At 44.6% G+C, this 16,095-nt stretch overlaps 1 protein-coding gene across 6 annotated transcripts, besides 6 other annotated features; it reads left to right on the forward strand.

The window, feature by feature from the left end:
• Positions 3,751-4,252: an enhancer, noted in NCBI's record as "H3K27ac hESC enhancer chr3:119297943-119298444 (GRCh37/hg19 assembly coordinates)". NCBI's record gives its function as "activates a minimal SCP1, AML or CMV promoter by ChIP-STARR-seq in primed H9 embryonic stem cells {active_cell/tissue: H9 hESC(primed)}" and the evidence as "EXISTENCE:reporter gene assay evidence [ECO:0000049][PMID:30033119]".
• Positions 4,037-4,136: an enhancer, noted in NCBI's record as "active region_20313". NCBI's record gives its function as "activates an Ori minimal core promoter by ATAC-STARR-seq in GM12878 lymphoblastoid cells {active_cell/tissue: GM12878}" and the evidence as "EXISTENCE:reporter gene assay evidence [ECO:0000049][PMID:35858748]".
• On the forward strand, positions 4,147-14,600 carry ADPRH (ADP-ribosylarginine hydrolase). 6 transcript variants are annotated; one of them, XM_047447476.1, is made up of 5 exons: positions 4,147-4,506; positions 5,135-5,291; positions 6,789-7,122; positions 10,940-11,300; positions 12,119-14,600. In XM_047447476.1, the coding sequence occupies exons 3-5, from the start codon at positions 6,825-6,827 to the stop codon at positions 12,531-12,533; spliced, it is 1,074 nt and encodes a 357-aa protein (XP_047303432.1). In that variant the 5' UTR covers positions 4,147-4,506; positions 5,135-5,291; positions 6,789-6,824; the 3' UTR covers positions 12,534-14,600. The 6 variants fall into 6 exon arrangements, with proteins under 6 accessions (XP_047303432.1, NP_001358021.1, NP_001116.1 ...); NM_001371092.1 differs by having other exon boundaries at positions 5,140-5,291; NM_001125.4 differs by having other exon boundaries at positions 5,206-5,291.
• Positions 4,317-4,456: a silencer, noted in NCBI's record as "silent region_14631". NCBI's record gives its function as "represses an Ori minimal core promoter by ATAC-STARR-seq in GM12878 lymphoblastoid cells {active_cell/tissue: GM12878}" and the evidence as "EXISTENCE:reporter gene assay evidence [ECO:0000049][PMID:35858748]".
• Positions 5,077-5,296: an enhancer, noted in NCBI's record as "active region_20314". NCBI's record gives its function as "activates an Ori minimal core promoter by ATAC-STARR-seq in GM12878 lymphoblastoid cells {active_cell/tissue: GM12878}" and the evidence as "EXISTENCE:reporter gene assay evidence [ECO:0000049][PMID:35858748]".
• Positions 6,401-7,600: an enhancer, noted in NCBI's record as "BRD4-independent group 4 enhancer chr3:119300593-119301792 (GRCh37/hg19 assembly coordinates)". NCBI's record gives its function as "activates an origin of replication core promoter dependent on BRD2, P300/CBP, MED14 and CDK7 cofactors, and independent of BRD4, by STARR-seq in HCT116 cells {active_cell/tissue: HCT116}" and the evidence as "EXISTENCE:reporter gene assay evidence [ECO:0000049][PMID:35650434]".
• Positions 6,764-7,063: an enhancer, noted in NCBI's record as "active region_20315". NCBI's record gives its function as "activates an Ori minimal core promoter by ATAC-STARR-seq in GM12878 lymphoblastoid cells {active_cell/tissue: GM12878}" and the evidence as "EXISTENCE:reporter gene assay evidence [ECO:0000049][PMID:35858748]".
• Positions 14,601-16,095: the final 1,495 nt, after the last annotated feature.

The raw sequence follows: 16,095 nt of genomic DNA on the forward strand, positions 1-16,095 counted from the left end.
AGCAGGTATTCAATGTCTGAAGAATGTATAAAGATCATTCTTGTAAGTGACCAGTTTGTTAAGAACAGTGTCATTGTTCCGACCTTATAGATGAAGTGTCTGAAATATCTTAAGATCAGGTCCGAGGGCTACAAGTTTATTTCTCAGCAACAGCCTCAGCATAGCAATTGATTCTGTATTGGTGAGTAATGAAGATGCCTATGATGTGTCTTCCTCAATAAAACTAAGAGCAAGGAACCAACTATGCAATATATTTGTCTTTCCAGGACCTATACTAATGCCTAGCACCTAGTAAGATGCCAAGTAACTATTTGTTCTTCTTGGCAGAACAACATTCACTGTTTCCTTTGCAAACAAACCCTGATTTTTGTAAAAGAACCTACCTCTACCTCTCAGGGAAGATGTGTCTATCCTTGATCTAAGGGAAACATCATAATCCAGCCTGCCTGCCAGGAATTGGTTTAGACTTCTGGAGGATCTTTGAGAATAGTTTCTTCATCTTGAAAGAAGAAACACTCTCTTTTTCCACTGGACACTGTCTATAACTGTAACTGCAATGTGTTATTATGCATACACATTATCTTGACTGCCTAGTTAAATAATCAGAGCTAAACAAAAATTTTCGAAGAAATTAACAGTAAATGGTTAATAGGCAACGCCTCTTGGGCTCGCTAGCAGACACAAAATAGCAAAATGGTTTAAACAAAAACAAACCGAAGGATAAGACCTCTATATACATTTGATAAAATAAATTAAAATGGGGAAAATATGATCTTGTGCCAATTAAAAACGTCAGTCTGGGGATAAAAATAACTGAAGATAGTAGGTCAGAAAGATAAGAAGAACAGGGTCTTTCTTTGATGATAGTATACAGTTGCTAAATTAACCCTGGGACTTCTTACCTTTAGACATTTTGTTACATAAGATAATAAGTGCCATTATTATTTAAGCCCAGTGAGTATGTGGTGTTTTGGGGGTGGGGAAGAGTGATGGTTATTTGCCGTTATTTGGAGCTGGAAACATGCTAACTGATAAATTATCCTTTTGGTTTATAGGACAATGTCCTTGATGCCCAAAAACATTTTCTAATTTTGACAGAAGAGAAAGGATGTCAGTAGGTGTTAACTAATGTGAAAAGAAGGTAGAATGGCTCATGTGTGTGATGGAGATGAGAACTGGGAATACAGAGAGATATCTGACCTGGTAGTAATTTTTTCTTGCATGACTACTACATTGATAAGCACTGTGCTAAAATTTTTCAATTAATTATTTCATGCAATCTTCAAACCAACTTTATGAAATATGTACTATTATTTTTCCTACTTAATAACAGAAAGTGAAGCTTAGCAAGATGAAGTGACTTGTCTAAAATCACTTACTCAAGCTAGTGTTTTTTGTTTGTTTGTTTTGTTTTGAGATGGAGTCTCACTCTGTCGCCCAGGTTGGAGTGCAGTGGCACGATCTCAGCTCACTGCAACCTCCGCCTCCTGGGTTCAAGCAATTCTCCTGCCTTGGCCTCCCGAGTAGCTGGGATTACAGGCACCCACCACCATGCCCGGCTAATTTTTTATTTTTAGTAGAGACAGGGTTTCACCATGTTGGTCAGGCTGGTCTCGAACTCCTGACCTCATGATCCACCTGCCTTGGCCTCCCAAAGTGCTGGGATTACAGGCGTGAGCCACCGTGCCTGGCCCCCAAGTGTTGTTACAAGGGTTTGAAACCAGATAGCGTGGATGTGTCGGGAGTCTATGCTAATGGTCACAAAGTTCATAGGCACCATAAAGTTCAAAGCAAACTAATTGCTAACAACCCCAGTTTTTCTGTTTGTTTTTGTTTGTTTGTTTGTGTTTTGAGACAGGGTCTTGCTCTGTCGTCCAGGCTGGAGTGCAGTGGCACAATCTCAGCTCACTGCAACCTCTGCTTCCTGGGCTCAAGCAGTCCTCCCACCTCAGCCTCCTGAGTAGCTCAGACCACAGGCGCATGCCTGGATAATTTTTGTATTTTTTGTAGAGAACAGGTTTCACCATGTTGCCCAGGCTGGTCTCGAACTCCTGGTCTCAAGCAATCTGTCCCCCTTGGCCTCCCAAAGTACTGGGATTACAGGTATGAACCACTGTGCCCAGCCCCAGTTATTCTTTACATTTAAGTCAAAAACGAAAACAAAAAATCACCCTTTCCCATGGATTCTCACAGAAAGATCACTACATAATATGAACAATATCCTCAGCAGACATCTTAAGCTGAAACTGTGTTGAGTTTTATCGGGATGCTTATTATTCAAAATGTCTCTTACTACAGAACTTGCTTTGACTGCATCCTCAGAGGCTGAAAATCTTTGACAGTTGAAAGAATGAAGGATGTGCCATCCCCAAATATGCCATATAATATATTGATTACTTTGAGTTGAAAACATTAGAGAAATTATAGTTTCAGAAAGGGTAAAACTGAGGGCTGACCTGATTAGGCCTGACACTTAATTTGCCTTGCTTGCTTTTGGTCACTTGCTTCTAGTCGATTTTAAAACCTGCATAGCTAAAAGTCATGTAGCTAGACGATACATAACTAAATTCCACTTGCCTCCTTATAGATAACTTCTCTGATAGGACACCATGGAAAATATTGCTTAAGTTATTTTTCAGGAACTTAGAGTCAGTTCTTGTCCAGTTCAAGCCACCAGCCCTTCATCTTGGCCTGCGTGAGTGTCCAATGGGTGACCTTTTGACATCAGAAGGCCCAAAACTCCACTCTCAGATCATGCTAACGTCACGATTTTGTGAACATGTGTTCTATGAACAGCCATGAAGATTGACTATGCTTGCTCAGATTACCGATTGCCTCACTTTTCCTTACCTCATCTTTCTCTGAACCTTGGACCACCTTCCTCCCCTATCCCATAAGCACTCCTAAAATTCCATCTTTGGAAAGGCACATTTGAGGCCTGTTCTCCAGTCTCCTGTCTTGGCTGCCTTGTGAATACACCCTTTCTCTACTGCAAAACTTGTGCGCCTCAGTGATTGGCATACTGTGTGAAAGACAAATGAGCCTGGTTCCCTGACAGGAGCTGAGCTGTCTCTTCCTGCATGCAGCCAGCAATAAAGATTCCTCTAGGAGAGGTATGTTCTCCACGCCAGAGCGAGAAAATAGCTCTCATCACCAGAGATTTGGAACTGGAGGTGGCATTTGGACTGGAGTAAACATTCTTGCAAAGTAACCATTATCTTCCACCTGTTTTACACCCCACCCCCCATATATCTCCTAGGGGCTCCCCTAGAAATTTTTTACCACCCTAGCCGGATTTTCTTTGTCCTGTCACTTCTTCTTAAATTTATCACTCTTTTTCTAAAAAGTATAAAAGCATCTTGCTTTGGACACTTTCTTCAGGATTCAGTCTCTTAACATCCCCATGTACATGTAAAATTAATAAAATTTGTATACTTTTCTCTTGTTAATCTGCCTAGTGTCAATTTGGCTTCTAGATGCAGCTGATTAGCTCACTAAGAGCTAGAGGGTGTAGGGGGTTGGAGGTGATCTCTGCCTCCCTTATTGGTGAACTTGATTTTTGTAAACACTCAAAAGTCACTTAGGCTAGAGTTGGAGATGGAGATGGTTATTCACTGGGAAGGCCACAAGAGAATGTTTTAAAGTGATGGAAATATTTCATATCTCGATTATGGTGTAAGGACATTTCATTATATATAAATTATATATCAATTTTTTAAAAAGCTCTCAGACCAAGGCTAGTCATTACAGCAAGAAAATAGGCATAGCAAATTTAAAACTTTGGAGAAATATATAGAATATTTGCATATGGTGATTCTGATTTGCTTTAAAAGTGACATGATTAATGTATTTAGACAAAAATACTCTTCGTTTTTCTTTGCTTTTATTTACGATCAGGATACAAGAATTCTACGCTGCTGCCAAATAAATGACTAGTTAAAATTAACTAACTGAATCCTTAACAACCATTCTAAGAGGCAGATATTATTATCCCACTTTATGCGTGAGGGCCCAGAACCCTGGCAAGGGCGGCACACTCAGTACGCTCTTCAAGCATCTGGGCACACCCGGTCCACTACAGTCCTACAAAGTCGGACGTGAGCACGGGCGAAGGCGTCAGCCGGGGCCACACGGGAGTCACTGACCACAGCCAGGCGAGAGCCGGCTTTCCGGTGCCGCCACATTCCGGGCACCAGGCTCCGGGCTCTTCAGAGCATTTGGGGCGGGCGACGGAGGTCCCGTCCACTCTCGCTTGGGTGCAGAAGGGCGCGGCGGTGCCAGGAAGCCGCCTTGGAGGCTCCAAGATTAGCTCACTCAGCGCGGCCAAGCGCAGGTGCGGGGGCCCTCGCCGCCACCCTGCTTATCTGGGGACAGTCCCGGAACCCGGTGACCCGGCTCCGCCCCAACCCGCGCCCTCGTCCACCCGCAGCAGCCAAGGCCTCTTCCCCGGCCCCGGGAGCCCGCGCCACGCCCGTCGCTCGCGCGTTCCAGTCCAGGCTACAGCAGGTATCGCGATCCCGGCCCTCGGCCCCGCGCTCCCCTCCCCCGCCCCTGGCGCTCTCCGAGTGTGGCCGACCATGAGGATTCCCAGTCTTGCAAATCGTGGGAGCGTGTCAACCGCCCCGTTTCTTTCCAAAGCCGGGCATGGCCCGGAAGCAGCTGATCAGATCTTAGTTCTGAATGTATAGTTCGGGTACGAGAATGTGACCCGTGAAAGTTCAGAGGAGTTAAGTAATTACAGCGTTCTGAAAGCGAACGTTAAAGGGAATTTACAACCGAAAAAAGATGCCGGTCTTCTTCCCCCATCCCAGCTTGCAATTCACAGAAGCACACATTAGGGTGGAGCCAGAAGGAATTACGGAAAGGACAATGAGGACATTGAGAGGGAGGGTATGGGGGGTTAAAGTTAGTCCTCCGAGGCCAAGAAGCAGAGTGTCTTGGCCTAGTGTCTGAAAATCGCAGCGCAGGACGGAACTTCCGAGAGCCTATACCTCCCCACTTCCCCCTCCAGTTTACAGATGGGCAAACCGCTGTCCCGGGTGTCTGTCAGGTCTAGTAGCCCAGAATCTCAGTGCCTAGGCTTCACTGTAAATAATAAACTATGTAAATAACATTTACAAATATCCTTTGTGAGCTCAGAAACTCAGCATTACCAGTAACTGGGTAGTGGAACGCATCCATCTTCGTCGTTTACTCCTTCTCCAGGGGCTCTCCAGCCTGCATTCCATGGCCAACAGCAGTGCAGCTGCAGAAGCACTTCTGGAAGCCTCCTGACTTGAACTAGACCTTGGGTAAATAGGGTTTAGATAAGTGGAGGGGAGGGAAAAGTTTCACCTGAGGGGAGAATGAGCTAGTCTGCCAGACCCTTATAAAAGTATTGGCCTGGATGGGATGGAGGGCTTTGACCTGAAAGCCACAGGGAGAAGGGAACCCTGAGGAATTGGCTGAAAGAGGGGGGTTCTTAGGAAATGCACCAACAGGGAAGCCAGCGCTTTACCAGGGATTTCATTCATGGTGGGTATATTATTAATAGAGATTCGAATTCTCTAGAAGCTGATCATTTCTAAGAGAAACAATATTTAAACATTACTGTCGAAGGAAAGGTTGTGGGGAGAAAATGTTCTAGTTCTAAAACAGAACACCCATTTTCCCTGGTTGTATATGAATAATACAAATATGTCAAAAATCAAGCTTACTATGTGCCAAGCACTCTAAGAACTTTTTTTTTTTTTTTTTTTTTGAGACAGAGTCTTGGTCTGTCGCCCAGGCTGGAGTGCAGTGGCACAATCTCGGCTCACTGCAACCTCTGCCTCCTGGGTTCAAGCGATTCTCCTGCCTCAGCCTCCTGAGTAGCTGGGACTACAGGCATGCACCACCATACCCGGCTAATTTTTGTATTTTTAGTAGAGATGGGGTTTCACCCTGTTGGCCAGGCTGGTCTCGATCTCCTGACCTCAGATGAGCCACCCACCTCGGCCTCCCAAAGTGCTGAGATTACAGGCGTGAGCCACCGCGTCCAGCCAACTTTATGAAATTTAATTTATTTATTCCTAACAACAAATCCAGGAGGTTGTTACTTTTTAAAATCAGTGCCATTTTATAAATGTGGAGGCTGAGGCACCAAGAGGTTGCCCAAGGTAAGAAGATCTGGACTGAGGCTGAGTGGTGTGATACCAAGCATCCTGGCTTGGCTGGAATCAGATTTGGGTTCCAGTACTTCCACTCCTCTTGTTTTGTGAATTTAGCTTATCTGAGCCTTCATTTTCTTATCTGTGAAATGCATACTGTAATCCCTCCCTATTAGTGAGACAATGAATGTGCAGGTGCTTTGTGAACTACACATTGTGACACTAATAGGAAGTGTAAAGCCTTGCACTTCTAAGGCCAAATCCCAGCTAAGAAGAGCAAATGATGAGCTGGGTTTGACTTGCAGAATTTAGTGGGCTTACTACTCACCAAGAGGCAAGAGATACAGTTGTAGTTATGATGATAGACTTTGGAGTCAGATGGACCTATGTTGGGATCCCAGCCCTGCCACTTATTGGCTCTGTGACCTGAGACAAGTCACTGAACATTTCTCAAACTGCATTATCTCCATGGTCCTCCATTTGTTCATACATAAAATGGGCTTTATATTCCTCATAGAGCAGTGATGAGGATTACATGAGATGCCACTGATACAATGTCTGCAAGTAGTGAGTGCTCAATAAAACATAGCTAGAGTCGTTGTTTTTTCTGATTCTTCTTGCTCCTCATCCTATTTCCTTTGTCTTAATTTCCCCACAAAGACACCCTCTCCAGAGCCCAGCAATTGTGAGGGACTGATGGAGAAGTATGTGGCTGCTATGGTGCTGAGTGCAGCTGGAGATGCCCTGGGGTACTACAATGGGAAGTGGGAGTTCCTCCAGGATGGGGAGAAGATACACCGGCAGTTGGCCCAGCTGGGCGGCTTGGATGCCCTAGACGTGGGAAGGTGGAGAGTTAGTGACGACACAGTGATGCACTTGGCCACAGCAGAAGCTCTTGTGGAAGCTGGGAAAGCCCCTAAGTTGACTCAACTGTATTACCTCCTTGCTAAGCATTACCAAGACTGCATGGAAGACATGGATGGGCGGGCACCAGGTGAGCACAGCCGGTGGGAGGTGCAAGGAGGGCAAAGAATAAAACAGCCTTGAGGAAATCATTAAGAATGTTGATGGAGATTTAAATAACAGAGACAATAGTGTTTGTAAATGTGATAAAAATAGAAATAACGGCCATGGTGGTGGCTCATACCTGTAATTCCAGCTCTTTGGGAGGCCAAGGTGAGAGAATCACTTGAACCCAGGAGTTCAAGACAAGCCTGAGCAATATACGGAGACCCTGTCTCTAGAATGGGGTAGCCAATCCCTCTTCTAGAGACAGGTACTGATCCGTGGCTTGTTAGGAACTGGAGCACACAGCAGGAAGTGAGTGATGGGCGAAGGAGCATCATCACCTGAGCTCTGCCTCCATCAGATCAGTGGCGCATTAGATTCTCATAGGAGCCTGAACCCTGTTGGGAACTGCACATGCGAGGGATCTAGATTGTGGGCTTCTTATGAGAATCTAATGTCTGATGATCTGTGGTGGAACAGTTTTGTCCCAAAACCTCCCCCAACCAACCCCGTCCATGGAAAAATTATCTTCTGTAAAACCGGTCGCTGGTGCCAAAAAGGCTGGGGACTACAACTCCAGAAAAAAATTTTTAAAACATTAGCCAGGTGTCATGGCACATACCTGTAGTCCCAGCTACTTGGGGGGCTGAGGTAGGATGATTGCTTGAGCCCGGGAGGTTGAGGCTACAGTGAGCTAGGATCGTGCCACTGCATTCCAGCCTGAGTGACAAAGCAATACCCTGACTCTAAAAAATAAAGAAATAAATAGAAAGAACCTAAATCTCTCATAATTAATTAAGCTGACACATTTGCAACCATTTAAAATTATTCAGGGTGACTCTACTCAATAACAATGTATCGTATATTTCAAAATAACCAATAGAGTAAATTTCAAATGTCTCACCACAAAAAAAAGTGAGGCAATAGATATGCTAATTAGCCTGATCATCCCACATTGTTTACATATATCAAATCATCACATTATACTAAATAAATGTATATAATTGATTTGTCAATTTAAATATTAATAAAAATTTAAAATTTGCAAATAATATTTACTAATATTGAAAAGTATTATTATACACTAATAGGTTATAAAATAGTATGTATGTTATGAACCTACTGTCCTTTAAAAAATAGATCTGTGGGGCCAAGTGCTGTGGCTTACACCTGTAATCCCAACACTGTGAAAGGCCAAGGTGAGAGGATTGCTTGAGTCCAGGAGTTTGAGACCAGCCTGGGCAACATAGCAAAAGCCTGTCTTTAAAAAAAATTTTTTTGAGTGGCCAGTTAAAAAAAAATTTTTTTTTTTTTGAGATGGAGTCTCACTCTGTTGCCCAGGCTGGAGTGCAGTGGCACGATCTCGGCTCACTGCAACCTCTGCCTCCCAGGTTCAAGCGATTCTCCTGCCCCAGCCTCCCAAGTAGCTGGGATTACAGGCACGCACCACCACGTCTGGCTAATTTTTGTATTTTTGGTAGAGATGGGGTTTCACCATGTTGGCCAGGCTGGTTTCGAACTCCTGACCTCAGTTGATCCACCTGCCTCAGCCTCCCAAAGTGCTGGGATTACAGGCATGAGCCACCATGCCTGGCCAAAAAAAAACTTTTTTTTAAAAAATAGATATGTATTTCTGTGTTGAGAAAGATCTTGAAGAACATGTACAAAGATGTTACTAATTATATTTGGGTGATGGGAGTATTTATAGTTTTTTATTTTTACTTACTTGTATTTCTAAGTTTTCTGTGATGAATAAGTAAAAAGAAAAATGTATATTTTTTATTTTTAAAGAAAAATGCGGCTAGGCATGGTGGCTCATGCCTGTAATCCAAGCACTTTGGGAGGCCAAGGCGGGCAGATCATCTGAGGTCAGGAGTTTGAGACTAGCCTGACCAACATGGTGAAATCCCATCTCTACTAAAAATTAAAAAATTAGCTGGGTGTGATGGTGCACACCTGTAATCCCAGCTACCCAGGAGGCTGAGGCACGAGAATCACTTGAACCCCAGAGGCGGAGGTTGCAGTGAGCCAAGATCGCGCCATTGGACTCCAGCCTGGGCGACAGAGTGAGACCCCATCTCAAGAAAAAAAAATGCAAAGGCTTTTGTAGAGACTTCTGGCCACAGGTTCGCTCACAAGTGGTTCTTGCCCACTTCGGCAACTTGTTAGAGCCACTTGGGCCACCAGGTGATTTTCTCTGGCCCATCTGACCTACCTCTCCTATTTGAGGCTGCTAGGGCTGCCATAACAAAATGGCATAGACTGAGTGGCTGAAACAATGGAAATTTGTCTCTCACAGCTCTGGAAACTGGAAATCCAAGTCAAGATATTGACAGGCCTGGTTTCTTCTGAGGCCTCTCTCCTTGGCTTGCAGATGGCTGCCTCCTCGCTGTGTCCTCACATGGTCTTTCCTCTGTGTGCATGTATCCCTGGTGTTTCTGTGTGTTTGCATTCCTCTTCATGTAAGGACACCAGGCAGATTAGATTAGGGCCTACCCTAAAGGCCACATTTTAGCTTAACCACCTCTTTAAAGGCCCTATCTCCAAATCGAGGTACTTAGAGCTACAGCATTTGAATTGGGGGGACTCAATTCAGCACATAACACCTCCTGATGAAAGCTTCCCATCACCATACCAAGGGGCCCTTGTCACCCCAAGGATTGGCTTTAGATGCCAATCTCTGTTCATCCTTTCTCGGCATCTGATAGCTCATCAGTTTAGCAAGTGGAAACTTTTTTTTGTCCACCTGTGCCATCCATGAACATTTTTGTGAAAACACTGACCAGTAAAGGAACAGCAGTGCCACACTCCATCGTATGTTGCTGCCATCGCTTGGTTCGCATGCGTATTCACAGGTCCCCAGTAGGACAGGTCGGGGGACAAGCCTGCTTACGTCACTGTCACGAGGGGATAGCCAAGGCCCAGAGGTTCAGTGACTCACCAAAGACACATTGTTTCCCTGAATCCACTGCTCCTCATCTGAGCCCAGGGCTTCACTGTAGAATTTTTGGCCGCTTTCTTTCTTTTTGATGTTCAGGAACTCCAATTGTGAGGTTTTTGTTTTTTGTTTTTTGGTTTTTTGTTTTGAGACGGAGTCTCGCTCTGTCACCCAGGCCAGGGTGCAGTGGTGCAATCTCGACTCACTGCAACCTCTGCCTCCCGGGTTCAAACGATTCTCCTGCCTCAGCCTTCCAAATAGCTGGGACTACAGGCATGTGTCACCACGCCCGGCTAGTTTTTTGTATTTTTAGTAGAGACGGAGTTTCACCGTGTTAGCCAGGATGGTCCCGATCTCCTGACCTCGTGATCTGCCTGCCTCCACCTCCCAAAGTGCTGGGATTACAGGCATGAGCCACTGCTCCCGGCCTAATTGTAAGGTTCTTATTGGACTCCATAAGGAATTGGGCTTTGGAGTCTGATGGATTTTACCCAGCCACTAACTAGCTGATTATGTGATTTTGAGGAAGTTTCTTAAGCTCTGAGCTTAAAAGGCTTATTTACTTAAAAAAGAGAACAATATACTTACTTCTTAATTTTTTTGTGATGTCTCAGTAATGACTGGTAAAGATTCCAAGGATCCCTATATGAGTCTGCTGCCTTTATTAGCGTTATCTTGCCAAGGGTTATACATAAAGAAAGGCACATTGTTGGGTGGGGTTTGGAGTTTTGGGGCATGCATCATCATATTTTTTGGCTCTCCCTTTCCATCAAAAATACTTGGAGACAGAGTTTAGTTATTTATTCCTGCTGGGGCCTTTGCTTTGGTTATGCTAACCCCCATCCCTTATCCGACTCTTCCCCAGGTGGTGCCTCGGTGCACAACGCCATGCAGCTGAAGCCGGGCAAGCCCAATGGCTGGAGGATTCCCTTCAACAGCCATGAGGGCGGCTGTGGGGCTGCCATGCGGGCCATGTGCATCGGTCTCAGGTTCCCACACCATAGCCAACTGGACACACTGATCCAAGTGAGCATCGAGAGTGGTCGGATGACCCACCACCACCCAACAGGCTACCTGGGGGCCCTTGCGTCTGCTCTTTTTACAGCCTATGCTGTGAATAGCAGACCACCCTTGCAGTGGGGAAAAGGACTGATGGAGCTGCTACCAGAAGCTAAAAAGTACATTGTCCAATCAGGCTACTTTGTAGAGGAAAATCTTCAACACTGGTGAGTCTGTAAGCGCACGCCCTGCTCAAACACGGTTGAATCTGTGCGTGTACATCCACCTGCACATATATGTCTTGTATTCAGAGATCACAGCAACCCTCATGGTTTTCACCCCCAGCCCCCTTTCTACCCATCTGCTAAGGATTTCAAGTTCCCTTCCAGTAATGATTCTACAAAGTAGCCAAGTGGATACCTCAATGAATAGGGCAGCTGTGGTGTTTCCCTCTTACACGGAATCCTGTCATTTTTGTGGCTATCCTATTCTGCCATGAATTTTCATGCCTATTTCCTACTTTCCTGGAATTTGCTTTTTCAGTGTTGTCTTGGTATACAAATAATATTTTGAAATCCTTGGTTAAAATTCCAGAGATACGTTTTTCCACTAGCTAACTAATAAGTGGTAAGGCCACATCTTCCCCTTCTCGTGAGTTCACTTCACATTGTCTTTCTTAGAATAAAAAGAGGCTTTCTGCTGAAGTCACCCACAGTTGTGATGTCTTGAAGTTCCCCTTTAAAAGGTCATTACTCTCGACCCTCCCAGGGAAAACAAACCTGTATTTCTTACCCTTTAACTTGATATGTATCTCTTTATTTAGCAACAGGATCAATGCCTTATTTATGTAGATCCTTATGAAAAATGTATTGAATGAATGGTACTTATATAGAAATAATTTTGATGTTTAAATAGTTTATGATATTACTGCAAGAAGCCGAAGTTATGTTGGATTTTTCTCTGTTCACACATCCATCTGGTGCTTTTTGTTATGACTTTTCACTTTATTTTTTTCAATTGACTCTAGATTTTTTCCTTTCTACAGGTCCTACTTCCAAACCAAATGGGAAAATTACCTAAAACTTAGAGGGATTTTGGATGGAGAATCAGCCCCTACCTTCCCTGAGTCTTTCGGTGTGAAGGAGAGGGATCAGTTCTACACCTCCCTGAGCTACTCTGGCTGGGGTGGCAGCAGTGGGCACGATGCCCCCATGATTGCCTACGATGCTGTTCTTGCTGCAGGAGACTCCTGGAAGGAGCTTGCCCACCGAGCCTTTTTCCATGGTGGAGACAGTGATTCTACAGCTGCCATTGCTGGCTGCTGGTGGGGAGTTATGTATGGTTTTAAAGGAGTGAGTCCCTCCAACTATGAGAAACTAGAATACAGAAACCGGCTGGAAGAGACAGCTAGGGCTTTATATTCTCTCGGGTCAAAAGAAGACACTGTAATTTCCCTTTAGGGAGACGTGATGTTCACTTCTGATGGATTCTTCTTTTGTGTATTTCCTTTTCTGCTATTTCTTTTCAGTTTTTCCAAAGTCAAGAGTCTTAACCTTGTACTCAGGGAATTTTGAGATAACAAGTCCCTTGGGCACCTTAAGCTCAGTTTTTTCAGGCTCATCCTGTTCTTCCAGAATCTATCCCTTTTCTTACACTGAAGAGTCCTTTAGCTCAATTGATAGGGTCAGCGTCTCGCAAGCAAAAAATCTCATGACCTCATATTTGAGTCTTCATTTTCATCATCTACTTGTTCTAAAAGTTTTTTCTGTTTGTCTCAAGTTGGGTTCCCACAAAGTGGACTTTGAGACAAAGATCTGAATGCAAGCAGTTTATATGGGAGATGATTCCAGGAAATACCGATATGAGAATGGGGAAATGAAACCAGGAAGGGAAGAGAGCTAGTATGGGGTATGTTAATGAGCAGGTTTCCACTGTGGGCGGTTGGCACTCTGCCATCTGAGTCCTCTGCCTAAAGCATTCCTCAGAACTGTCCCATTTGAAGGGCAAGCAAACCTGGGGTATTTATCCACTGACTTCCATCTGACACTGGTTGAGGACCACTGCCAGGGATGCTAACTCCCTGGTAATTCTTGGCTTACCCTTTGTACAAACCAAACCTTAGTGTCTTCAGGTAAAGACTCAGAGATACTTGCAGGGGCAAGCTGTAAAGGGCATGGGAACAGTGAGGGACATATGTGGGGTCCTAACAATATCTGCTAGGCTGGTCTACCTCCTAAATATACTCTGAATCTATCACCTCTATTGCCTTCTTGCACTGAGGATTTTTCAGCTGGATTTCTGCAATCCAAGCTACTCAAGTCTGGGAGATGCTGCTCTGAGCTGCTCTCAGTACTCTCCTCATCATGGCAGTTAACACATTACCAATTTTGTTATTGTCTGTTTGCTTGTTTGCATTATTTCTAAACAGAACCTAGCACAGTGCTTGGGCAGCCAATAGGCATTAATCAGTATCTATTGAGTGTTATGAACTAGCCTCCTAGCTCGTGCTTCCCTCATTACCCTCCAGAGTTATGTTTACGAATAACAAATTGACCATGCTAAACTAATCATGTTCCAATGAATACATCACCTTTCTTCATTTCTTGATGCTCTTCCCAATCCTTGTCTACCTGATAATAAATTCTTACTTGTCCTTCAAGACCCAACTCAGATAGATAGAGCTTCCTGAGTGAAACCTGCTTTGATTGTTCAGGCACTTGGCCACCTTCTCCTCACTCCTCCCACAGCCTTCTGTCTTGGCCTTGTCATCACATCAATCCTGTTGTGTGGTGCTGTGTGTCTTCTGGGTCAGTCCTAGGCACATGCTGCCCAGCACATGTCCACCTGGGAAATGAGATGCCATCGTCACATTCATTTGGTCACCCTCAGTCCAGCCAGTGGGCTTGCTCTCATTTGGCCTGTTCTCAGGGGTGGGAAGGAAGAGCGTCCCTTCCTTCTCCTTTTGAGAAAACCACAGAACTATGACTCTCATGATTTTTCCTTTGTGAAATCCCTGGTTTTCAGCTGGAAGCGGTGGGTAAATGAGGTCTGATGATAGCAGTCCTGCCACCTTCTAGTTCATCCCATAGGAATGTTTTTCCAAGTCCTTCCAGTCTTTTTAGAACGTGGTGGAGGAGGGTTGTGTGTGCCCCAGGGGGTCGGGGGTAGGGGATGCAGGGAGGATCTTAGCATTTGTTGTTTTCTAGTGCAGGGCTTTAGCCACAATTGTAAACAACAGGAAAAGGCTCTTTAGAGATCCTATTAGATTTGCTTTGCCGATTGTCACTCTTCATCACAGGCACATTTCAAAAAGAGGTTAGACTTTCAGACTTCTTTTTTCTCAAACCTCAAAACTTCCACCCCAAACTTCGCTCTCAGCTGGTGACTTTGCTTCTTTATGTGTGTGTATGTGTGTCAGAGAAAGAGAGAGAGAGAGAGAGAAGGGAGGATGAGAACGAATGGGGGGAAGAGATAAACTTTATGCATAACATTAGGGTAAATCAATAAAGATGGTCTGACACATCGTATGAATTTGCCATTCTTATCAAGTTAATCTATGCATATTGAACAACAGAAGAGGTCATATGTGACATTTCAAATGATGCTTTTTGGACCTGCTGTGTGATGCTGCTTCATTTGCTTTCTTTGTTAGCCAAGATTGCTACATGTTGTCTAGAAGTCTTGGCAATAGTTGTTTTTTGTTTATTTGTTTGTTTGTTTTAGATCTATAAAATTAGCATTGACCTCATTCACTCTTCTTCAAGATTCTCCAACCACCACATTCTCCATTTATTCTTCTTTCTGTACCTATCTGGAGCGAGTAAACTTGCATCTTTTTAAAACAGCCACTGAGCTACTAGGACATTGAGGGGAAGGAATGGGGATTAACTTCACAATCCAACCAGCCTCCCCGGCCAGCTTCTCAACAATGGCTGCCTGGGGTCTCACTGAGGATCCACAGGTCATTTAGATAGGGACTGGGGAGCAGCCTACCATCATTTGTTTTACTCTCTGGGCTTGGGGGTTGAGAAGAGTAATTCCTAGGGAGTAGGTGAAGCTCTTTCCATTTGGGGAAGGATAAAGAACAGAGGAAGAGAATATTGCTGTGTGTCAGATCATTCACAACAACCCATTAATAGATGAAGAAATTGGGCTCAGAGAGGTTGCCATCTGTCCAAAGTCACACAGGATGAGATGGAACTGGGGTTTAAAACCAGGTCTGTTTATCCTACAAAGGATGGAAAAGAACCAAACCAAGGTGCTTTTCCCAGTCTCATGCAGCACTCACACTTCTGACACCCAAAGGTGTGAGAGTTGTTTCTCCATGCACCAAGCAAGTTTCTAACAGACACCAAGTGAGTGTCCTCTAATTCAGTTCCGATGCTATCTTCTGGATGATAGCATCAGATTCCACAAGTTAAGGCACAAGACTGCCCCCTCCTCCCCCTCACCACTGCTTCAGATGCTGACCACAAGTCCCAGGTTGTGGCCTGTGCTTCTGACCAACCAGCTGTAAATCAGGTTCCCACAAAACCCCCCTCAGGTTTGATTAATTTGATGGAGTGGCTCACAGAACTCAGGAAAACACTTAGTTTACTGGTTTGTTAAAGGATATTACAAAGGCTATAAATGTCTAGCCAGTTGGAAGAGATGCACAGGGCAAAGCATGTGGGAAGGGGTGTGGAGCTTCAGTGACCTCTCCAGGTATACCACCCCTTAGGAAGCTCCATGGGTTCAGCTGTCCAAATCCAGTTCTTTTAGCTTTTTATAGAGGCTTATTGTGCCGGCCTGATTGACTAAATCATTGGCCATTTGGAATCAACTCAGCCTTTAGGCCCCCACCCCTCCCTGCGGGTCATGAGGTGGGTGGGGACAAAAGTTGCAACCCTCTAATCACATGATTGATCCCCCTGGCAACAAGCCCCCATCCAGAGGCTATCCAGGAGCCCACCAAAAAGTCACCTCACTGGAACAAAAGATGCTCCTCTCACCCGGGAATTATCAAGGGATTTAGGAGTTCTG

The sequence above is a fragment of the Homo sapiens genome, chromosome 3, assembly GCF_000001405.40.
Source record: "Homo sapiens chromosome 3, GRCh38.p14 Primary Assembly".
Taxonomy (NCBI): domain Eukaryota; kingdom Metazoa; phylum Chordata; class Mammalia; order Primates; family Hominidae; genus Homo; species Homo sapiens.